Below are 26,077 nucleotides of genomic sequence, written 5' to 3' on the forward strand. Positions count from 1 at the left end.
GTTGAAAACTAAAATTGTTTTTTCAACACATGAAGAGCATATACACAATTGACATCAAGAGTAGGCTAACCAGAGACTAAACTGATGCAAATAGGATGGCAAGCAAAACTCAGCTTTCTGCCAAAAGCTTTCCCCAAGAGGTGAATAACATTTTCCATAAGTCTATGGAAATTGCAAAACTGGTTTGCTAAGGAAATACTCTTTGCCACTTTTTAATGTATGATTTAACATTTCTGTTCTCTACTGAATAGTATAGGTTATATTAATTACATCAGAGGGGAGCCCATATTTATATTCAACGAAAAGATTAACAGCATTTTAATTCACTAGAGAAAATTTTACCATATGTAAAAATGAAATATGCATTTTTAACTACTTTTGCTAGTGTAAGAACTATTTATACAGTGTAATTCTGCAAGATTAAAATGAAATATAACCAGCCTGGGCAACATAGTAAGACCCTGTCTCTACCAAAAATAAAAAAATATAAAATTTTCAGGCAGGAGCACTTTATACTATGTGATGTTAACTGTAAAGTATTATAATTTAAAGGGTCATGTTATTTTTACAAAGTTATATGTTTACACCAATTCATCACAGGAAAGTTAGACAGCCAGGGGGAAAATGTCTATTTTTTAAAATATTTTCTGTCCAGTCATTTCCAAAATGCATCATAGGTGACTTTCAAACAATAGAAAAATTTAACATGTAAGCAGTCTCTACTTTTGTCTTTGGCCCATCTTCATTTACCTTCTTTAGTATTCGACGTGTTTATAAACAGAAGCCATAATTAACTCCTATGCTTACTGTTTTCATTGTACTATATCATTTCCAGATATTAGAAAAGCAAACAATTAAACCAAGTGATGGAAAATACAAGTGATGCTGCAAAATTATAGTGAGTCAGGTAGTAATGCACCTGACTGATCTCCAAAGTGTTCAGAGGAACAAATGCTTTAAGAAGTTTTCAACCATAATGCAAAATCAGGTTCTACCGTAGACCCCACACATCTCAGCACGGGAACAATGTTCACATGCAGTAGCCTATCCTGAAAAGATACATAAATTGTCTATATCCTTGACTGGGCACCTGTGACTTTGGAAAATTAAATTTCACATTCATTATTTATGAAGTCAGCTCAAATCCCTTGATGGAATTTCAGCCTAATTAAAAAGTATTAAGAGAGGTTTGCAGCCCCTTGCTAGTTCTCATAAACACTCCACTGGTTTAAAAAGTAGATAGCTACCTTCTGCCTGAGGAAAACTAATGAATCCATGCATTTATACCCAAGATCTAGAGAAATTCAGATTTGTTTTTCTGTAATAGTCTTGAGTTCTAAGTGTTCAGGGTCAGAACCACCTCAAAATTCCTTCCATGCCAAAGGAGACAAGAGGCAGAAGATGAGATATTTTCTATTTTTACTCTTTACTTTTAGGCACCTCATTTTCCACCTTTTGTCAGTTCTTTTGCTTTACTACTCCTAGTGCCTCTCTCTTCTAATTGCACCAGCTTCTGACTATCTTTATCCTTTCCTGCTTCCTAAGAATACAATCAAGCAAAGCCAAAAACTGCTTTAAGCACAATTCATTTTAAGCATATATTATTTTAAATATGCATGTTATGAATTTGCTTTTAGTTTTTCTGCTTTTGCCAGAACACAAATTTGCCACAACAAAACTTCTACACATTCTGTTGTAATACATTCAGTTATGGTTTATGTTAATGGATTTTATACATTAGTCACTCAACAAGTATGCACTGGGTCTGTCCAGCATTCAGTCCATGATAGAATCTATAAAATATAAAGAGAGGGAAAAAAAACCTATAAGATACTTAAGACTGATTTTATTGCTTCTAAATTTCTTTAAAAATCAAAAAAAGGCAAAAGCATGAATATTTAAATAACAAGATGACATTCTAAATGCATGCTACTGCTCAGGCAGGAGGGCAGACTGAGCATGAATATTTACCTTTCTACCTCCTAAATCACACTAAAATGATTCTAAAAATGTAAAAACAGAATGCAATAGCAAAAAGTGAATGAGGTGTGGAAGCAGAGTGGCCAGAAAACTGTAATGAGTGTTCTACAGTGTTTAACAGGGTTTAGAGAAGATAGCATGCAGATGGGATTATTGCAGTGATGGAGAAGACAGAGCTTGTGGAGTGGCACATGAGGCCTGTACAGAAGATGGGTCTGTTGTGCCCAGGAAAGAACCCAGAAAGGATTTAACCACACAGGCTAGAAATGGGGCAGGAGTAGATTGTAGGGCAGTATTGAGGATATTTCATTAAAGTACTGACTACTGAACAGCTGGATAAATCCCTCCCACATTTTCACTTTCAGACAACTGGCAGAAATGCCATATGACACAGGAGGAAAAGAGCTCACCTCTAAATAATTTGAATAATTTTTCTGTGAAGTGCTACACTCCAAAGAAAACTACCAGCTTATCTGCCTATTACACAGTGTCCATATTAAATTCAAGCCTATTTACCACTGAATCAGTGAATGTGTTCACCCAAGTATATATAGTTTATGTTAAAATATCCCATTCAGGGGAAATAGATGAGTACAATGGTGAAGGAAAACTAGCCAGCGAGTTATGTTACTCAACCTTTCCCATTAACAAGGAACAGTAGACAACCATGAATCACCAGACATTTGAGGAAAATCAATAGCATAAGAGAAATTCCAAGAAATGGTGCATTCATATAATAATAAAAAAAGACTTCTGTGTTGTGGTGGTGGAGTGATTAGAAAATAGGAGCTTAAAGGAAATTGAAAATATAATTACTAAAATTAGAATTCAATACAAAAGCTGTAAGATAAAGTCAAGAAACTCACACAATAAAAAATAGTAAATTTAAAAGATAGATATAGATATTTCAGCTTTTGTTCTTTGGTAAATAATATTCAGAATATCATTTTTTAAAACTTTAAGACCTACAAAGAGGCAGGAAACTAATAATTAAGTGAACATATATTCAACAGAAGCAGATCACAGATTACCCTTTTACTGGAATTAGGAGACAAGGATTTTAAGACATCTATTATAATTACATTAAATAATTTATAGTAAAAGATACAATGGTTGAAAATATGGGGTATTCAGGAGATAAATGGAAACGCTAAAAAGAACTAAAGGGAAATTCTACAACTGAAAATTATATCTAAAATTTTTTAAAATTAGTTGAATGCTCTTAACTTCAGATTGCATACTGCAGAAGAAAAGAGTAGTGAACTCATAGAGGTCAGAAAAGTGATCATGTTTAAACAGGGCATAGATTAAAAAACAGATTAATAACTCCTCCACCCCTGGCAGCCATGGCTTGCTGTGGAGAGCACTTCTGTGTGCTGGGGGAAGGAGAGGACTGCAATTGTGAGGCATTTAACTCAGTGCTGTGCAGTCATAACAGAAAGGAAGACCAGACCAAACTCAGCTAACAGCCGCCGAAAGAGGGAGCATTTAAACCAGCCCTAGCCAGAGGGGAATCACTGATCCCAGTGGTCAGAACTGAGTTCCCACGAGCCTCACCACTGCAGGCTAAAGTGCACTGAGGCTCTAAATAAACTTCACAAGGCCACATTTAGGCAAGTCCTAGTGTTGAACTGGGCCCAGAGCCAATGGACTCACGGGACATGCAACCTAATGAGACAACAGCTAGGGTGGCTAAATAAGTGCTGGCATCTCCTCACCCTTAACCCCAGGCTGCAGAGCTCCTACCTCCAAAAGAGACCCCTTCCTTCTGCTTCTGGAGAAGAGAGGGAATAGTGAGGAGAACTTTGTCTTGCATCTTGGATAACAGCTCAGCAACAGCAGGATAAGGCACTGGTCAGAACTGTGAGACCCCCTTTCCAAGCCCTAGCTCCTGGATGACACTTCTAGAAACACCCTGGGCCAGAAGGGAACACACTGCCTTGAAGGAAAGGACTCAGTTCTGGCAGCATTTATCACCTGCTAACTGTAAGAGCCCTTTGGCACTGACTAACCAGCAGTTATACCCAGGAACTTCATTGAGGGTCTTGAGTGAGACTCTGAGACTTGCTGGCTCTAGGTGAGACTCAGAACATTGCCAGCTATGGTGGCCCTGGGGCGAGACTCCTTGTGCTTGAGAAAAGCAGAGGGAAAAGTAAGGGAGACTTTGTCTTTGGCCACAAGGGTAGAGTACCAAGTGGGGCCATGAGGTATCCAATTCCAGGACTTTACTCTTGGGAAGCATTTCTGGACCTGCCCTGGGGACAGAGGGGAGCCCACTCCCTTGAAGGGGTGAGATCCAAGACAGGCAGCATCACCACAAGCTGACTGAGGAGCCATTGGGCTATAAGAAAACATAAGCAGTAGTCTGGCAGTACTCCTCCTGTGCCTGAGGTGGTAGTGGTCACAGAGTGAGGCTCCTCTCCCTTCGGAAAGGGGAAGGAAGAATGGGAAGAACTGTGTCTCATGGTTTAAGTGCCAGCTCAGCCTCAGTACAGTAGAATACCAGGTAGACTTCTAAGGTTTTTGACTGTAATCCCTGGCTCCTGGACAGCACCTCTGTATCTGCCAGAAACCTGGGGAACCTGCTGCCCTGAAGGGAAGGACATAGGCCTAACTGGGTTTGCCACCTGCTGATTGTAGAGCCCCAGGCCTTTGAGTGAACATAGGCAGTAGCTAGGGAGTGATTACATCAGGCCTTGGGTGAGATGCAGCCTTTTGTTGGCTTCAGGTTTTACACAGTGCAGTCATAGTGGTGGTGGCCACAGGGGTTCTTGAGTCACTCCACCTCCAGCTTCAGATGGCTCAGAATACAGAAAGAGACTCCATTTGTTTGAGAGAAAGTAAGGGAAGAGGACAAGAATGTCTACCTGGTAATGCAAAAAATTCTCCCAGATCTTGTCCAAAACTATCAAGGCAGCACCTCTATGATTTTGCAAGAACCACAGTATTGCTGGACTTGGGGTTCCCCTAAAGCAAATACAGCTTAGATCACAACACCCAAGTCATTTCAAATATCTAGAAAGTCTTCTAAGAAGGATAAATACAAACAAGCCCAGACTGCAAAGACTACAATAAATACCTAACTCTTCAATGCTCAGACACAAAATAACACCTACGAAGTATCAAGACAATCCAGGAAAACATGATCTCACCAAATCAACTAAATAAGACACCAGGGGCCAATCCTGGAGAAACACAGATAGGTGACCTTTCAGACAGAGCATTCAAAATGGCTGTGTAGAGGAAACTCAAAGAAATTCAAGATAATACAGAGAAGGAATTCAGAATTCTATCAGATAAATTTAACAAAAAGATTTAAATAGTTAAAAAGAATCAAGTAGAAATTCTGGAGCTGAAAAAGGCATTTGGCATAATGAAGACTGCACCAGAGTTCTTTAGTAGCAGAACTGATCAAGCAGAAGAAAGAATTACTAAGCTTGAAGACAGGCTATTTTAAAATAACAGTCAAAGGAGACAATAGGAAAAAGAAGAAAAAATGAAGCATGCCTACAGGATCTAGAAAATAGCCTTAAAAGGGCAAATCTAAGAGTTCTTGGCCTTAAAGAGGAAGTAGAGAAAGAGATAGGGGTGGAAAGCTTATTCAAGGGGATAATAAGAGAATAATAGGATATCCAATATCCTACAGAGAGATATCAATATTCAAGTACAGAAAGGTTATAGAAAACCAAGCAAATTTAATACAAAGAAGACTACTTCAAGGCATTTAAGAATCAAACTCCCAAAATTAAGGATAAAGAAAGAACCCTAAAAGCAGCAAGAGAAAAGAAACAAATAACATATAATAGAGGTGTAATACGTCTAGCAGCAGACTTTTCAATGGAAACCTGACAGACTAGGAAATAGTGGCATGTCATATTTAAAATGCTGAAGAAAAAAAAAAACTTTTTCTCTAGAATAGCATACTATGATAAAAAATATCCTTTAAACATGAAGGAGAAATAAAGACTTTCCCAGACAAACAAAAGCTGAGTGATTTCATCAACACCATACCTGTCCTACAGGAAATGCTAAAGAGAGTACTTCAATCAGAAAAAAAAAAGACATTAATGAGCAATAAATCATCATCTAAAGGTACAAAACTCACTGGTAATAGTAATTATACAGAAAAACACAGGATATTACAACACTGTAACTGTGGTGTGTAAACTACTTTTGTCATAAGTAGAAAAACTAGTAATGAACCAATCAAAAATAATAACTACAACAACTTTTCAAGACATAGATAGCACAATAAGATACAAATAGAAACAAGAAAAAAGTTAAAAAGTAGGGGGACAAAGTTAAGGCATAGTGTTTTTATTACTTTTCTTTTTGCTTGTTTTTGCAAACAGTGTTAGGTTGTTATCAGGTTTAAATAATGGGTTATAAAATAGTATTTGCAAGCCTCATGATAACCTCAGGCCAAAAAGCATACAATGAATACACAAAAAATATAAAGCAAGAAACTAAATTGTGTCACCAGAGAAAATCACCTTCACTAAAGAAAGACAAGAAGGAAAGCAAGAAGGAAGTAAAGACAGCAAAACATTCAGAAAATAAATTACAAAATGGCAGGAGTAAGTCCTTACTTGTCAATAATATGTTTGAAGGTAAATGGACTAAACTCTCCAATCAAAAGACAGAGAGTAGTTGAATGAATGAAAAAATAAGACCCATTATCTGTTGCCTACAAGAAACACACTTCACCTGTAAAAACACACATAGACTGAAAATAAAGGGATGGAAAAAGATAGTCCATTCCAATAGATATCAAAAAAGAGCAGGAGTCACTATACTTATATCAGACAAAATAAATTTCAAGACAAAACCATAAGAGACAAAAAAGTTCACTATATAACGATGAAGGTGTCAATTCAGCAAGAGGGTGCATATATATGTATCTAATACTTTAGCATTTAGATATAGAAAGCAAATATTATTGGAGCTGGAGAGAGAGATGGGTCCCAATACAATAAGAGGTGGAGACTTCAACACTCCACGTTAAGCATTGGACAGACTATCCACACAGGAAATCAAAAAGGAAACATTGGACTTAATTTGCACTATACACCAATTGGATCTAATAGATATTTACAGAATATTTCATCCAAGAGCTGCAAGATATGCATCCTTTATTTTTTTTTTTTCACTCAGCACATGGATTACTCTCAAGGACAGACCATGTGTTAGATCACAAAACAAGGCTTAACACATTCAAAAAATTAAAATAATATCAAGCATCTTCTCTATCCACAATGGAAAAAAACTAGAAATCAATAAAAAGAGGAATTTTGGAAACTATACAAATACATGGAAATTAAACAATATGCTCCTGAAAGACCAGTGGGTCAATGAAGAAATTAATAAGGAAATTGAAAAAGGTCTTGAAAAAATAAAAATGGAAACACAACATACCAAAACCCATGGGATACAGCAGAAAAGTACTAAAAGGAAAGTTTATAGCTATATGTGCCTGCATCAAAAAGAAGAAAAACTTCAGATAATCTAATGATGCATCTAAAAGAACTAGAAAAGCTACAGCAAACAAAACCCAAAATTAGTAGAAGAAAAAAAATAAAGATTAGAGCAGAAATAAATTAAATTCTAATGAACAAAACAATACAAAAGATCAATGAGACAAAAAGTTGGTTTTTTAAAAGTTAAACTAAAATGACCAACCTTTAGCTAGACTAAGAAAAAAAGAAAGAAGATAGAAGTAAAATCGGAGATGAGAAAGGAGACATTACAACTGATACTGCAGAAGTTCAAAGGATCATCAGTGGCTACTATGAGCAACTACATGCCAATAAATTGAAAAATCTAGAAGAAATGGACAGATTCCAAGACACATAAAACCTACTAAGAATGAATCAAGAGGAAATCCAAAACCTGATCAGATGAGTAGTAAGTAACAAGGTTGAAGCTGTAATAAAAAGTCTACCAGTAAAAAAACAAAAAAACAAAAAAACAAAAAAAAACCCAGGACCTGATGGCTTCACTGATGAATCCTACCAAACATATAAATAACTAATAGCAATTCCATTCAAACTATTCTAAAAAATAGAGAAGGAGGGAATACTTCCAAACTCATTCCACAATCTAGTAATACCCTGATACCAAAACCAGACAAAGATACCAAAAAAGGAAAACTACAGGCAAATATCTCTGCTGCATATTGATGAAAAAATCCTCAACAAAATACTAGCAAACCAAATTCAGCAATACTTTAAAAAGATCACTCATCATGACCAAGTGGAATGTATCCCTGGGATGCATAGATGATTTAACATATGGAAATCAATCAATGTGATACATCATATCAACAGAATAATGAATAAAAACCAAATGATCATTTCAATTAACACCTAAAAAAGTATTTAATAAAACTCAACATTACTTCATAAATAAAAGCCTGCAAAAAATGTGTATAGAAGGAACATATCTCAACATAATAAAAGCCATATATGACAGACTCACAGCTAGAATCATACAGAGTGGGGAAAAACTGAAACCCTTTCCTCTAAAATCTGGAACACAAGAATGCCTACTTTCACCACTGTTATTCAGCTTAGTACTGGAAGTCCTAGCTAGAGCAATCAGACAAGAGAAAGAAATAAAGGGCATCCAAACTGGAAAGGAAAAAGTCAAATTATCTTTGTTTGCAGATGATATAACCTTATATTTGGAAAAACCTAAAGACTCCACTGAAAAACTATTCGAACTGAAAAAAATTTCAGTAAATTTGCAGCATATAAAGTCAACACAGAAAAAGTAGTAGCATTTCTATATGCCAACAGAGAGCAATATGAAAAATGGATCAAAAAGTAACCTCATTTAAAATAGCCACACATAAATTTACCTAGGAATTAATCAAAGAAGTGAAAGATCTCTATAATGAAAACTATAAAACACTAATGAGAGAATTGAAAAGGACACCAAAAACAGAAAGATATTCCATGTTTATGGATTGGAAGAGTCAATATTGTTAAAAAGTCCATACTTCCCAAAGCACTCACAAATTCAATGCAATCCCTATCAAAATACCAATGACATTCTTCACAGAAATAGAAAAAAAATTCTAAAATTGATATGGAATCACAAAAGACTCCGAATAGCCAAAGTTATCCTTTGGGCATTTTTGGGGCAAAATATTTGGGGGCAAAGTTTTTGGGCAAAATGAATAGACATCTCTCAAAAGTGGACATACAAATGACAAACAGGCATATGAAAGGGTGCTTAACATCATGGATCATCAGAGAAATGCAAATCAAAACTACAATGAGATCATCTCACCCCAACAAATATGGCTTATATTCAAAAGACAGGCAATAACAAATTCTGGTGAGGTTGTGGAAAAAAAACAAGAACCCTCGTACACTGTTGGTGGGAATGTAAAATTAGTACAACCACTAAGGAGAACAGTTTGGAGGTTCCTCAAAAACACTAAAAAATGAGCTATCACATGATCCAGCAATCCCACTGCTGGGTATATGCTCAAAAGAAAGGAGATCCGTATATCAAAGAGATATCTGCACTCCCATGTTTGTTGCAGCTCTGTTCACAATAGCCAAGATTTGGAAGCAACTTAAGTATCTATCAACAGTTGAATGGATAAAGAACATATGGTACTTATACACAATGGAGTACTATTCATCCATAAAAAAATGAGATCCTGTTATTTGCAACAACGTGGATGCAGCTGGAGATCATTATGTTAAATGAAATAAGCCAGGGACAGAAACACAAACATCACATGTTTTCACTTATTTGTGGTATCTAAAAATCAAAACAATTGAACCCACGGACATAGAGAGTAGAAGGATGATTACCAGAGGCTAAGAAGAGTAGTGGAGGACTGGAGGGAAGGTGAGGATGATTAATGGGTACCAAAAAAAATAGAAAGAATAAATAAGACCTGCTGTTTGATAGCACAACAGGGTGACTATAGTCAAAAATAATTATACATTTTCAAATAACTAAACTAGTATAATTGGATTGTTTGTAACACCAAAGACAAATGCTTGAGGGGATGGATACCCCATTCTCCATGATGTAATTATTATGCATTGCATGCCTGTTTCAAAACATCTCATGTACCCTATTAATATATATATATCTACTATGTAGCCACAAAAAATTAAAAGAATAGAAATATAAAACAAAAAAGAAGTATGGCTTATACAGTTTGATAAGTTAAATTAGGCCAAATTTTAAAGGATTTAAGTGGCAGCCAATATGTAAAAGTCATGTTTCCCAAAGTATGCTTCATGCAAAACTAGTCCCCTAGGATGAGCCTTTTAAAAATGTTCTGCAGTCAAATGTGAAAGAGGGAAAAAAAAAAAACTTTTCATCTGACGAATGTAAGCCCCTTAAAATTATCAGGCCAACAGAAGCATTTAAAATGTGACAGCAGTCACATCTCACTTCACCTCGAGCTAAATATTACCTCTCGTAGTCACTGGCTGTGTTGGCTCTTGACTGACTGACACCAAGTAGCCATAAAAATTCCACAGGCTAGACACCATAACTCATAACCTATAGTTCAGTGATGTACAGCCAATCACTACCAATGTTGTTTCTGTTAACTGATGAGAATTCCTGTCAAACAACTTGTATTGGCCCACTTTTTGCTCCCTTTGCCCTTGAAAACCTGCTTGTAACAAAAGCTAATGGAGCATTCTCCAAGGCAACATAAAAGTATGTCCTGGGAAGCTTTCCTAACTTTGGCTCAAGTAAACTCTAAATTATATTTTGTACCTCAGCTTCTTTCTTTTAGGATGACAAATGTATTTGAGAAATGCTTCATATTAATTCCCCTTCTCTAAAATACATAACATTTTCAAGGTTATATAGTAAAGAGACTTTTAAAAATTCTTTATGTAGTCAGATATTTCCTAAAAGTTCTTTATTGTGGAGCATGTTTCTGGTAATTCTTAACACCCCTAGAATCTTGTGTTCTACAGAAGACACTCGGAAAAATGCTGCTCTACATATGACAACAATGACAATACTTTCTAATGTTCTATGTTTGGAGGTCAGGAACAATCCTAAAAATTTAATATATATGATCTCATTTCATCATCACATCAACTTCATGAGTTAGACTCTATGATTAGCCCAATTTTATAAGGTAACTGATCCTCAGACAGATGCAGTAACTTGCCCATGATCCATGTGCTAGTAAACAATGGAACTGAGGTTTATACCCAAGCCTTCTAGTTCCAGAGCCTGCATATACTCTTGAATATTTGGTATGGAACGTCATTAAAGCTTTCTGAGACATAGATCGTGTTCAAGAAAAAAATCCTTCCATAATCTTGATTTTGTCTATTTCCCTTCCTATATCATGTTATGTGCCATCATAAGGACAATTCCCATGTAATATATTATATAATGGGAAATTTAATATTTCCACCATATGCATATTACAACATTTGTAATTGTCCCACAGTTCTTACTCTGCTCCTTTTTCATTTATTCTTTTTTCTCTTTGAGAGAAGGTTGGAAGTTTCTATTGACATTTATTCAACCTCATTGAGCCTTTCTTTGACCATCTTCAGCCTACTAATAAGCATGTCAAAGGCATTCTTCATTTCTCACATTTCCTTTGATTTCCAATCTGATAATTCAAAAATTTCTGGTACAGTTGAGTCTGATTCTGATGTTTGTCTCGTCTCTTCAGAGTGTGCTTTTCGCCTTCTAGAATGCCTCATTTTTTTTAAAGCTGGACAGTTGCATGAAAAGGAACTGGGGTAAATACACCTTTAGTGTGGAGTTTTATGTTTATCTGGCTAGAAGTTTATCTGTGTCTATATTTGCTTCTCTTATAGGTGTCAACATTTTTGCTAGTGTTTTTGTTTTTTCTCCTCAGTCATCTCTGGGTTTCCCTACAGACTATTTCTTAAATAGGGTCTGAGATGTGCAGTTCTTTGAGTTATAATTTTCTGTTATTGTATAAGGGCCCTATTGATGTGGTGGTAAGATGAGAGAGGAAATGTTCTATAATCTTCTGAGGGTCTCAGTCTTTTAATGAGCCTCTGCCCTTGGGTTGTGATCTTCAAAAGTGCTTCTTAGCTTCTCCCTCCTCCCCTTAGGTGATACAAGATGGCTGGAGGGGGCTGGCACTAGATATTTTCCTTCCCCACATGGAAGGCTATAGGAGGCTGGAGTTGAGTATTTCCCTTTCCTCAAGTTGGTTAGGCTTTTGTAAAACCCAAGGAGATTTGGCTCTGGTAAGATAGTTTTCCTTGAGGGCAGGTCATTATTAAGGAGAAGAGAGCACTGTGGGCTTATTTCAAAACAGTTACTTTCTCCCTCACCCTGACAGAAGCACAAGAGGATTTTTCTTTAATCTTCACCATGACAACCTAGTAGAGCTCCTGGACACAAAATTTACAAAGTATGGGGGCCTTCCTTAAGCTAGGACCCTGGGAATTTTTATTTCTCAAGAAAGTCCACACTCAGTCTTCAGTAGTCAATTACCCTTTAAGTGTCCCTTCCAGGTTCTAGCAGCAGTTTCCACTGCCAATGAGCTGTGATTCTCTGTATCTGCCTGTCTCTCCAGTTTACAGAGTGACAGACTGCCCTGTGACCTCAACTGTCTAAAGAATCTAAGAAGAGTTGTTGACTTTCAGTTTGTTCAGCTTTTTTCTTGTTGTGAAGACAGAAGTGTTGACTTCCAAGCTGACATGTCAGACCAGAAACTGGAAGTTTTGCCTATTTAATTTTTGCCCTGTATGTTTATCCCTTTTTTAGAAAAGAAGTATTGTTATTAATAGTTGCATTAAAATAATCCAGATGGGCTTGGTAGACCTCCACTTTTTAATTCTAACTTCTATCGTGGTCTTTTCTAGTAACATGTGAGATAAACAGTTGTGCAGTGGGCAGATTTCTCACTTTAATACATGATTAAATTTGAAAGATATTTAGTGTATTTCCCTCTTTTCCACGGACACTTTCTGGATACAGTATAAGTAGCACATCCCTTTCAAGAATAGCATCTAGGGCATTTACTAGTAAAATGAAGTGCACGAAGTAGGATGCAACCTGCTGGGAACATATAACTGCCTCTAATCTTGAATGATGATGGGAGAAGTATTCACATTGCTGCCCTGTTGGCCACTTAAAGGAAAAGCCAGTTGTGAAGTGTTCTATCCTTAGGTTTGTACCATTCATAAAGCTGTCAAGCCACCAGTAATGAGCAGTAAGAAATATGAGAAATTATAGGCTAGAGTTGCATGAATATGTGTAAGAAATTTTAATCTGCTCTTGAGCATATAGAGAATAGTATGAGTACTCTTGCTATGTAGTTTTTAAATTTTATTCTATACTGTATATCTACAGTGATTCATTCATTTTATTTCTTGGAAATGCTTTTCTGTTTGTTTTTAAATAAATCCTTTATTGGGAAATTAGCTCAAAAAGGTACATGTTAAATAAAAAATGAGCAATGAATTTTCTTTTCTCTAGAGAGTTCATAATAAATGTGTAACTGACACAAAGTGTTTTTCGACATTTTCCATCCTTTGGGATGGTCATTTCTAGCCACATGAAACCAAGAGGAACAAACATCCTGAAGAAATATCAGCATCTGTTTTAAAATTATCTTAAAATTTAACATGTAGCTGCAGAAGATATTTTTATGTGTCACTCTGTGAAACATGACCTTTCATTTAGATCAGATAAGGCTTTTAAAACAACTTTGTATATTTTTAATTCTAAATTTTTTCATTACACAAATAAAAAGTGAAGTAATAGCTGTTGAAATGTTGGCTCCATTAGCATAAAAAGAATTTGCAAATGGTTAAATATTTCCAATTTCATATCAATGTCATCAGTTGCTTTGAAGGAAAAAAACAGTTAATTCCAATAGTGTTTGATTTTTATTTTTCATCTAATTCTTGGACTGAAATTAAAGCTTCTGGGTCTTTAGTCTGTCAAAATTAAACATCAGATAGTATTGTGAATATGCATGTAACATCAGCTTAAAAATTCAATGTTGAAGATTAAATTATTTGTTTTTTGATGTTAATATGAATTTTGGTAGTGCACAATGACAAGTTACGATGGCTTTGCTAAATTAATAAAGCTTGGAGAAATATAATTGGAGTTGGTTTTGGTACACACATAATATATACATTCACATCCAAAATGAGCTATGATATTCTGCCAAATGAAATAGAAACTTTGATTGTCAAAATATGCAAAGAATTATATATAGAAATATTAAATATATTAATTTAAAAGAATTTTTGTAAAAAGCTGTTAATTTTTATGTACATGCTTTAGCATGGTATTATGTGTTTTCTTTCTTTGCAGCTCAAATGGATTATTTTTCCAGGATATTATTTATTTAATTTAGTTTAGTTATTTTTTAAGGAGGTATATCGGTCACCTCAAAGATTTATCTTATTTTACGTGTCAAGAACATTACACTTATTCTATTTTGGCTAATTTGAAATATACAATAACTTGTTGCTAACTCTAATTTCTCTACTGTATTATCAAATACCAGAACTTATTTCTCCTATGTAACTGTATTTTTGTACCCATTAACCAATCTCCCTTCATCCTTCTTCCCTTCTTCTCTTTCCAGTCTTTGGTAACCAGCATTCTGCTGTCTACCTTCATGAGATACATTTGTTTTAGCCCCTACATATGAGTAGGAACAGGTGATATTTGTCTTTCTATGCCTAGAAATTGAGAAATGGTAATGAACTTTTATAAGTAAGTCCCTGGTTACATTTTATTAAATAATAGCTGGAAATTTTTAATAAAAGTCATCAGTAAATAAAGGATCAAAAATCTTATGACCTTGAAGCTTTTCACAAATTGCAATTTTTGAAAACAAGCTTGTAAACAGAAAAATCTATACATGTATCACAGCAAAAGCAAAGGAAGGATAAACAAATCAAACTATGAGAGCTTAAAAAACATACATGATTTAATTTTGAAAATGTATATTTGACACTGACAGTGATCGATCTTACAAAAAAATCAAGAAAACAATCCCATTTACAATAGCTACAAAACAGGAATAAATTAAATCAAAGAGGTGAAAAATCTCTAAAAGAAAACCTACAAAACACTGATAAAATAAATTGAAGAGGACACAAAAAAATGGAAATATATTTCACACTCATGGACTAGAAGAATGAATATTATTAAAATCTCTATACTATCCAAAACAATCTACATATCCAACACAATCCCTATCAAAATACCAAAGACATTCTTACAGAAATAGAAAAAAAATCCTAAAACTCATAGGGAATCATGAAAGACCCCAAATAGCTAGAGCAATCCTAAGCAAAAAAAGCAAGGCTAGAAATATCACACTACCTAATTTCAAATTATTCTAAAAAAGCTACGGTAATCAAAACACCATGGTACTGACATAAAACTCCAAGAACATACACTGGGGGAAGGGATAGACTCTTTTTAAATAAATTGTGCTGGGAAAACTAGATATCCATATGTAGAAGAATTAAGCTAGATACTCATCTTTTGCCATATATAAAAATCAACTGAAAATGGATTAAAGACTTAAATGTAAGAACTGAAACTAGAAACTATGAGAAGATATTGAGGAAATGCTACAGGACATCAGTCTGGGCAAAGTTTTTTTTGGAAGGTAAGATCTCAAAAGCACAGGCAATCACAGCAAAAATAGACAAAAGAGATTACATCAAGCTAAAAGGTTTCTGCACGCAAAGGAAACAATCAACAAAGTGAAGAGACAACCCATAGAATGGGAGAAAATATTTGCAAACTACCCATCTGACAAGGAATTAATAGCCAGAATATATAAGGGAAAAAAAATTAATAGCAAAAAGAACAAATAATCCAATTTTAAAAGTGGTCAAAAGACCTGAATAGACACATCTTAAAAGATGACACACAAATGGCCAACAGGTATATGAAAAAATGTTCAGCATCACTAATCACCAGGAAGATGCATGTCAAAACCACCTCACCCCAGTTAGAATACTATTATTAAAAAGACAAAAAATAACAAACGCTGGTGATGACGTGGAGAAAAGCTACCACTTTTACACTATCAATAGGAAAGTAAATTAGTATAGTCACTGTGAAGAATGGTATGGAAGTTTCTCAAAAAACTAAAAATAGAACTACCATATGATCCAGCAATTCCACTGCTGAGCATATTTCCAAAAGAAAGGAAATTGGTATATTTAAGAGATATCTGCAAGCCTATGTTCATTGCACCACTATTCACAATGGCAAGATATGGAATCAACCTAAGTGCTCATCAGTGGATAAAAGGATAAAATGTAGTATAGATGCACAATGCAATATTATTCATCCATAAAAATAATGAAATCCTGTCATTTGCAGCAACGTGGATGGAAATGGAGGTCATTATGTTAAGTGAAATAAGCCAGTCAGAAAGACAAATATTGCATGTTCTCACTCATATGAGGGAGCTAAAAGTGTGTCTCATGGAGATAGAGAATAGAATAGTGGTTACTAGAAGAGACAGAAGGGATGAAGAAAAGTTGGCTAATGAGTACAAAAATACAGTTACATAGCAATAAGTTCTAATATTTGATAGTGCAGTAAAGAAATTATAGTTAATAATTTATCATAATTTATCATAGTTTTCAAAATATCTAGAAGAGAATAATTATAATGTTCTTAACACAAAAAGGTAGATGTTTGAGGTGTTGGATATCTCAATTACCTTGATTTGATCATTACACATTGTATACGTGTATCAAAATACCACATGTATCCCCAAAATATGTACAATGTATCATAAAAAATCAAATAAAGAAAATCTATATTTGTGCTTCAAGTTTCTCAACTTGGGAGAGGAATCTTGATGAAGTGCTTATTTTTAAGTTGATAAATATATATCCTCTATCAGAATGTAATGAAATTTAGAAGGGTATGACTGTAGTATCTAAGTTTTGTGAAATATTCATAGAAATTATAAATAGAAACAAATTTGATGAGTTGTCTTGTAAGATAATTTTTTGAAGAAAGTTACTCTAAATGGAAGTAAAAAGGTAGCAAACACTTTTGAAGATGTTTGGTTTGGAATATTTACACATTTTAATATTTTGAAAAAATAAGAACTAAGGATATCCTTCATTTAATATTTGTCCTGAACTTACCAGGCACCTCAGCACCTGCAGAGAGTGTTTTCTCAGTTAAAAATAGTGTGGTCTTAGACAAGATTCATTGAAGGTATCAACAAGTTCAATTTTATGAAAAACCCAGCTACCCGGGAGGCTGAGGCAGGGGAATCGCTTGAACCTGGGAGGTAGAGGGTGCAGTGAGCCGAGATCACACCACTGCACTCCAGCCTGGAGACAGAATGAGACTGTCTCAAAAAGAAAAAAAAAACAGTTGAAAAATACGATTTTCAGACAAATACTGGTGTCACTATAATAAAAACAGATAGGCTAAGAACAATCTTACAGTATACAAATACTTCCCAAAAATGGCTATTCCGCTTATAGTCATTTTTTTGATAGTCAGATAACCAAGTGGGTTTTTTGTTTGTTTAGCTTTAATGTATACGGACATATTTATTTTAATTGACTTAAAGATTTTTATTTTTGAAAATAGTATTTGAATAGGAGTATTTTATAGTTTGAGACCAGAAAATAATTGAATTGCCAATAAAATAAGAAATCTTACCCAGTATCAAACTTTAGTAATTTCAAAACATAAAAGTAAGCTTGATACACAGGCAACACCTAAAGAAGTCTGAGGGCAACAATACAACTCCTCGACTGATCCTTGCCACATTAGGATGTGCTCTGGTCCACATCTAACTCATGTAATCACCAAATGATGCATGAGAGGCATTACTTACGGAGTGGGAGCTATTTTGATCATAAAGCATCTCCATTTCATATTCTGATAATTACCTAAAACTGACATTGACAATTTCAAACAGGATATGCACCAGAAATCTTTCAATCCTATTGTTTACCATAAGCAACCCAGATAGATCAGATATTTTCTGCTGAAAATATTCCACAGACAAGTACTCTCAGTTATCTCTTTTCCTTAATAAATACCGAGTGTCTGATTAGCACATTTCCAGGTTTCTTTCCTCTCTCTCTCTCTGTAGATATACAGATATATATCTTATCTCCAACTCCTCCCTCGGTCATAGATCAGCTGCTTTTTCCTCCCCACAGGTATTACAATGTTAGAGTACGGGCTGGACATGGTGGCTCACACCGGTAATCCTAGCGCTTTGGGAGGCCAAGGTGGGTGGAACACTTGAGTCCAGGAGTTCGAGACCAGCCTGGGCAACATGATGAAACCCATCATGGGGCACAGTGGCACATGCCTGTAATTCCAGCTACTTGGGAGGCTGAGGCAGGAGGATTGTTTGGGCCCAGGATGCAGAGGTTGTGGTAAGCCATGATTGCGCCATTACACTCCAGCCTGGATGACCGAGCAAGACACCATCTCCAAAAAAAAAAAAAAAAAAGAAAAGTTGGAGTGCTTATACCAAGATAATAAACCTATTAATAGAGGGATACATATTATTTCAAAAACATATAATTTTTTTTTCTTTGAGACAGAGTCTTGCTCTGTCACCCAGGCTGGAGTACAATGGTGCAATCTTGGCTCACTGCAACCTCTGCCTCCCAGGTTCAAGCGATTCTCCTGCCTCAGCCTCCTGAGCAGCTGGGATTAAAGGCACGTGCCACCACGCCCGGCTAAGTTTTGTATTTTTTTAGTAGAGACGGGGTTTCACCATGTTGGTCAGGCTGGTCTCAAACCCCTAACCTCGTGATCTGCCCACCTCAGCCTCCCAAATTGCTGGGATTACAGGCGTGAGCCACCATGCCCAGCCCAAAACATATAATTTTAATTATTTTGAACATCACCTTTCACTCTCAAAACCGTCTGGATTTGGATTGGGTGATAAATCATGTGATCACCCTAGCTATTATATTTGAATTTATATAACCCGCCAAACTTTGCCAAGTTTGTATGAATGATATTTCATTCCTCCTATGTAACATATCTGCCAATTAAACACTCGAAGTAGTAGGTGGTGCCTGAACCCTGCTATAGCTGTCAGTTTCCCATTGGTGTGATTAACCAAGATTGGTTAGATTTCTTAGCTTGCTTTTCTACTCATAGATACTGTTCTATAAGAAGAACAAGCCTAAAAATTTCTAAAATAAGTGGATTATATTTCAAAGTCTTTACAATTTAGAGCAAGCCTTTAAAAAGAGGCACCTGCTTGAACTGAAATATCTTTCAAGTCTACCAAGGACACAACTACATTGCATTATCCCTGCCATGTACCAAAAGCACATGAAAAAAATTCATCTTTGATAGAAATCTGGTGATTTCTTTCCATCAACAGAGTTTCCAAATTATTTAACTGAGTAATTCTGGGCTTTTCTCCTTGCTTTGGATAATAATTAATCCATAACCATGTTTAATGAATAACATATACATAGTACTGTATGTTTGTGGCATCATTCTAATACAGCTTATCTACATTCTTTTTCCCAAAATATCAAGATATATATTAAAACAAAAAACAAATTCAAAAAAGAAATACAAAACCATTTCAGCACAGTACCCAACAATATTAACGTAAAAGCTTTTATGATAGTGAATGGACTGATCCACAATATGTCAAAGTTTATCTTTGGCATTTCCCTGCTTCTCTTTCTCTTTTCCTCTCTTAGCTCCTGTCTCCTCTGCCCCACTCCCAGGTATCCAGGGTCCTCATTCTGCCTTTTGGATGACAATAGTGAACCCACTTCAGTGCTCTCAGCTCAGGCTTGCCTTATACTGAACAATCCCGAGGACTAAATTATTTCCTTTTTCTCTCTTCCTGGGCTCCATCAAAATGTCCATAACTACAGAAAAGCAATTTAATTAAACTAAGCCACACTGGACTGTGAATAATTGATTAACAGACTACTTAACCCTCCCTGGGATATTTTTCTTTTAAAAGAGGACACTGTAATCTGAGTGACTCTGTAACATGCAGAATTTCAAACAGTTCAAAAAAGTAAAGAGAAATATATAGGCTTCATTCAGGGAGATATGTTTTGATAGAAGGGCCTTCTAAGAGTTCCTTAAATTATCCATGTTGGTGGCCACATACTCAGCCTCCATTCCTAACTAGGAGAATAAAGCATTGACTGAAATGCCCTTTTCCAGTTTTATAAGTGAGCAGCAAAGTACTCTCAAAGGAAGGCATTTGACTTTGAAACAGACTTCAGAAGTCAAAGTATGGTTTATTACTCCTTTGGGTGAACTGAGAAATACAAATGCTTCTTTTAATTTGGAGCCATATTCCTAAGAGTCATCCTTAAACACCAAATATCACTATGACAAAGGGCAAATCCTTTGTTGTGGAAGTGACCCTTTTTAGATTAGTTACATGTTTTTTAACTTTTAATTGGAGGATGGGAATGAGCACCAGAAATATATGATATAGCTCTGTATATTGTGAAGATGCAAATAACAATATACTGGAAAAGAAACCTCATGCTAAATTTCTTCCTTTCATTTTATCCATTCTACCTTCTAGATCTCTCTCTCTCTCTCTCTCTCTCACACACACACACACACACACAGACACACACACACACACACACACACACTATCCTTTGAGGATAGTAAAATCCACTATTCCTCAAACAGTATTTACAGAGTATTCTCTTAAAATTTAGCTATTATCTAAAATTTTGGAATAACATTCATAATTACAATGCTATCATATCATTATTGTTAATAAATTAGGTTTGACGTGATTAGGACTACCTTTTTGCTTTGATTGACAGTGTACTTTATTTCTGCCCTTATACCAGGTATAAAATGCAAAGAGAAGGAACTACTTACTCTCGGCCTTCAGTTTCACTGACATAAATTGAAGCTGAACCTCTGCTCTGGCTAATTGTGTATTTTGCCCTCCCCTACACCCAGGTGACAATGCAGACCTCTCTGGTCATGATAAAAGCCTCTAGCATTTTACTTTGTTGTAATAGTTTTAAAAATCAACAACTTAATCCTGGTTATCAGTCAGCTACATTAATATCTCAGAGTTAATGAGCATCTTTTTGCAGAAATGTCAGGCTATATTTAAACCTCGGTGAACTTTTTCATTGCATTAAAATATTACATTTTGTCTTAATATTCAAAATTCACATGATGGGGCTGGATTAAGGGTTACTTCACAAAAAAAGCATTCTTAGTCCTGGCATCCCCCAAACAAGAAAATTTTTATTATTTTTTTCTTTCCACTCAAAAAATAAATCCTTCTCAGCTAAGTAAATTTTCTACACCAGACCCTGCTGTACTATTAGCTTCAGATCTATCGTCTGAAAGAGGTTGTCAGTTTCCCACTCAAAGGTACATCTTGAATAGGGTGTTCTAGGGTAATATAAAATATTGAACAAATGTATCTAATGCATCTTTTTTTTAAAAGACATGAACCCACAAGAATGGGAAGAACAGGACAGGAGACAATGGCAATGAAATTTTTAAAGCTGAGAAGCAGGTGGACAAGAAGTAATTGAAGTACTACACCCAAGAAAGCTCAATCTTAAGTCAGTGACAGGAAAAGCCAAGAATTAACTAGTTACACAACAGATACCCCCAAATGCTCAGCAACTAGCAGTACCAATTTCTCTAAAACTGGGAATTAAAAATGGGTAGGCAGATAGAAACCTAAAATAAGGAGACTGGATAAAAGCTATCTGAGAAGTAATTAGATACCTATATGTCTTCCCCTACTCCACTTTAGTTACTTAAGTTACTAGAATCTTGTTTGAATCTAAGCATCTTTATATTGAGCTAGAACAAACTGATTCATCTCCAGATAAGGAATACCTTTAAAGAATTCATTTATTGGCTAGTCCTCAATAATATCCCCCTCTCTTCAGAAAAATAGAGACCAACAGGTGCCAAAATTATTATTCCAGAGTCCTTAGCACAGAGTGCCACTTGGATTTTCTCACAAGCTGATAAAGTGCAAAACCTGCTCTGACCCATTTAGAACTCCAAAGCTTCATTACAAACCTCCCAATAATTGAACAACTGCAATTCATTATGAGCATGCTGTAATCCAGGGCTTCATGAAGAAAGTATCTGAATGATAGGAAGCAGTTGAAACAAATCTTCTGAATTCCTTTACATTTCTAAAAGTAAACAGGAGACTCTCTGGATATGGTTAAGATACAGAAAATCAGATGGAGCCTAGGTCCTGAGTTCTTTAATATTCATTGCAATAAAAACTTTGGCACACTACCTAAACTTCTAAAATACAGAGAATTATGTTTTAAAACTGCAAGACCTTCCAAGAGGAAATATTGAAGTACAAATGTCTATCAAATACTGGTCAAATAATTTCACTCTAAATGATAATTCATGTTGATAGTTCCATATTAAAAATCATGTTACAAGCCTGTAACTTCCTCCCCTTGAAAACATATAATTAGTCATGCTACATTGGAATCAGCTTTAGAAAATGATCTCTTACCACCAGAATTATTTTCACAGTCCATTCTGAAAGAACAACCCAGTCTTTATCAAGCTAATTATCTTAAGTATACAGGGTAATTACTTCAAGATGCTCAAGGTGATATCTTTATACTTAATCATTCCAAAAAAAATAGACTGTAAATATTATTAGTATGTTTTTAGAACTCTATAACAGATTTTTTTCATAACAAATGACAAATATCAATCAGGTATCCAGAATAGCTATTCTAAAACCACTATTCACCTCTGTTCCATCCCACTTAGGGACAGTTAAGATTAATTAACAGTTAAGATTAATTTCTCTGAATAATTTCTTTGACCTATCTCTTGGATCTATTATTAGCATTTGACCCAATGGGCAGAGACCATCAAGAGTAAAAAATGTATAATACTGATGGTTCTGTATATGACCACTCTGGAGTATGAATCATATACAGTTAAAAGCTAGGATTTTTCTCATGCCACATTCAGTCTTCCAATTCAGTCTTTAAAGAGATTAAATATGTCTGTGTTCAAGAGCACTCTAAAAATCTATATGTAAAAGACATTTAGTAATGGCGTTGATTTACAAAAATAAAGCAATAGTAGAGTATCCTACTCTTTGAAAATGCATGATTTTATTTTCTCTTTGTAAGAGGCTTCTCAAATAAGTGGTGGTCTCTGTTGACAATAGTCATAACAGCTCAGTATTAACATTAAATATATTTAATTTGGCAAAATCATTTAGCCTTTAAAAGGAAAATTTTAAGTAGCCCAAATAAGCAAACCAACTCACGAAGCTACATGGGGGGTATAGTTTATAACTGAAGGCACATGAGGATGCAATGCCGCTTAAAATCAGACACTGACCAAGGGGCCTGAATTGTTATATACAGACAACGTGGTATATTAGTAACTTCTACCTTAAAGTTTTTCATTCCAAGGTCATTTGTTCTTCTTCCTAGAAGGCACAGGAGAGTTCATTGAAAATATGCTCACAGCTTGTAAAACAAAAAACATTGTCAACCATATATCTTATCATCTAAGCAAAAAAATTTATAAACATAATTTTATCAAATCCTAAGAAAACTTATTTCTTTGAACAAATTCCATGAGAAAAAAAAATGTGCCTTGCAGAAAGTGTGTAAAGCTTTTTATAAGAAACAGATAATTAATACTACTTAAGCCAATTGATAGTATTTAATTACTTACCTTTCTGCCTTAGTTCCAACAAAACTTCTAGAAACAAATTCACTGCCCCAAAATCATAATAATCTCAGTTGCTTCACAGCATAGAAACCTTGTATTCTTCCTTTATTATTTATCTTTAATTATCCAGCTTTATATTTCTTTAAATTTTTAAGACCAATTCAAAATAGGTAATGAATATTTCAAATAGATTCCTAAATCCTGCCAATCTTCTGATTGCTTCTTCTCACATATGCCTGTCTTCTTTGGGCATCAGAAGAATTCTAGAATCAGAATACTTATTTGTGATGTATTAGATAATTGGCTATTATTATCATCCTGCCTATGTCAGGGGGAGCTCTCTATTCCAAACAGTATAGGTACAGACTAAGCTCCTTCGTGAAGAACACCAAATCTGACAACAGAAAATAATAAGATGCCTCATAGGAGAAAGACTCTACTTTTAACATGTAAGATTTAAAAGAACTCCCACACAATAATAATGGGAGACTTTAACACCCCACTGTCAACATTAGACAGATCAATGAGACAGAAAGTTAACAAGGATACCCAGGAATTGAATTCAGCTCTGCACCAAGCGGACATAATAGACATCTACAGAACTCTCCACCCCAAATCAACAGAATATACATTTTTTTCAGCACCACACCACACCTATTCCAAAATTGACCACATACTTGGAAGTAAAGCTCTCCTCAGCAAATGTAAAAGATCAGAAATTATAACAAACTGTCTCTCAGACCACAGTGCAATCAAACTAGAACTCAGGATTAAGAAACTCACTCAAAACTGCTCAATTACATGGAAACTGAACAAACTGCTCCTGAATGACTACTGGGTACATAAAGAAATGAAGGCAGAAATAAAGATGTTCTTTGAAACCAGTGAGAACAAAGACACAACATACCAGAATCTCTGGGACACATTCAAAGCAGTGTGTAGAGGGAAATTTATAGCATTAAATGCCCACAAGAGAAAGCAGGAAAGATCCAAAACTGACACCCTAACATCACAATTAAAAGAACTACAAAAGCAAGAGCAAACACATTCAAAAGCTAGCAGAAGGCAAGAAATAACTAAAATCAGAGCAGAACTGAAGGAAATAGAGACACAAAAAACCCTTCAAAAAATTAATGAATCCAGGAACTGGTTTTTTGAAAGGATCAACAAAATTGATAGACTGCTAGCAAGACTAATAAAGAAAAAAAAAGAGAAGAATCAAATAGATGCAATAAAAAATGAGAAAGGGGATATCACCACCGATCCCACAGAAATACAAACTACCATCAGAGAATACTACAAACATCTCTACGCAAATAAACTAGAAAATCTAGAAGAAATGGATAAATTCCTCGACACATACACCCTCCCAAGACTAAACCAGGAAGAAGTTGAATCTCTGAATAGACCAATAACAGGAGCTGAAATTGTGGCAATAATCAATAGCTTACCAACCAAAAAGAGTCCAGGACCAGATGGATTCACAGCCGAATTCTACCAGAGGTACAAGGAGGAACTGGTACCATTCCTTCTGAAACTATTCCAATCAATAGAAAAAGAGGGAATCCTCCCTAACTCATTTTATGAGGCCAGCATCATCCTGATACCAAAGCCAGGCAGAGACACAACCAAAAAAGAGAATTTTAGACCAATATCCTTGATGAACATTGATGCAAAAATACTCAATAAAATACTGGCAAAACGAATCCAGCAGCACATCAAAAAGCTTATCCACCATGATCAACTGGGCTTCATCCCTGGGAAGCAAAGCTGGTTCAATATGCACAAATCAATGAATGTAATCCAGCATATAAACAGAACCAAACACAAAAACCACATGATTATCTCAATAGATGCAGAAAAGGCCTTTGACAAAATTCAACAACCCTTCATACTAAAAACTCTCAATAAATTAGGTATTGATGGGACGTATCTCAAAATAATAAGAGCAATCTATGACAAACCCACAGCCAATATCATACTGAATGGGCAAAAACTGGAAGCATTCCCTTTGAAAAGTGGCACAAGACAGGGATGCCCTCTCTCACCACTCCTATTCAACATAGTGTTGGAAGTTCTGGCCAGGCCAATTAGGCAGTAGAAGGAAATAAAGGGTATTCAGTTAGGAAAAGAGGAAGTCAAATTGTCCCTCTTTGCAGACGACATGATTGTATATCTAGAAAACCCTACTGTCTCAGCCCGAAATCTCCTTAAGCTGATAAGCAACTTCAGCAAAGTCTCAGGATACAAAATCAATGTACAAAAATCACAAGCATTCTTATACACCAACAACAGACAAACAGAGAGCCAAATCATGAGTGAACTCCCATTCACAATTGCTTCAAAGAGAATAAAATACCTAGGAATCCAACTTACAAGGGACGTGAAGGACCTCTTCAAGGAG

The 26,077-nt window shown here is 35.3% G+C and overlaps 1 protein-coding gene across 18 annotated transcripts in view; it reads right to left on the reverse strand.

Moving 5' to 3' along the window:
* The window catches only part of IQCM (IQ motif containing M), a 464,135-nt gene extending 440,215 nt beyond the window's left edge, over positions 1–23,920 (reverse strand). For all 18 annotated transcript variants that reach the window (NM_001378180.1, XM_017008904.3, NM_001363507.2 and 15 more), the window contains exons 1-2: positions 23,677–23,920; positions 23,388–23,425 (exon numbers count right to left, since the gene is read on the reverse strand). The gene's annotated coding sequence lies outside the window, so the exon portion shown is untranslated. The remainder of the gene's footprint in view (positions 1–23,387; positions 23,426–23,676) is intronic.
* Between the last annotated feature and the right edge of the window lie 2,157 nt (positions 23,921–26,077).

Source organism: Homo sapiens, chromosome 4, assembly GCF_000001405.40.
Source record: "Homo sapiens chromosome 4, GRCh38.p14 Primary Assembly".
Classification (NCBI taxonomy): domain Eukaryota; kingdom Metazoa; phylum Chordata; class Mammalia; order Primates; family Hominidae; genus Homo; species Homo sapiens.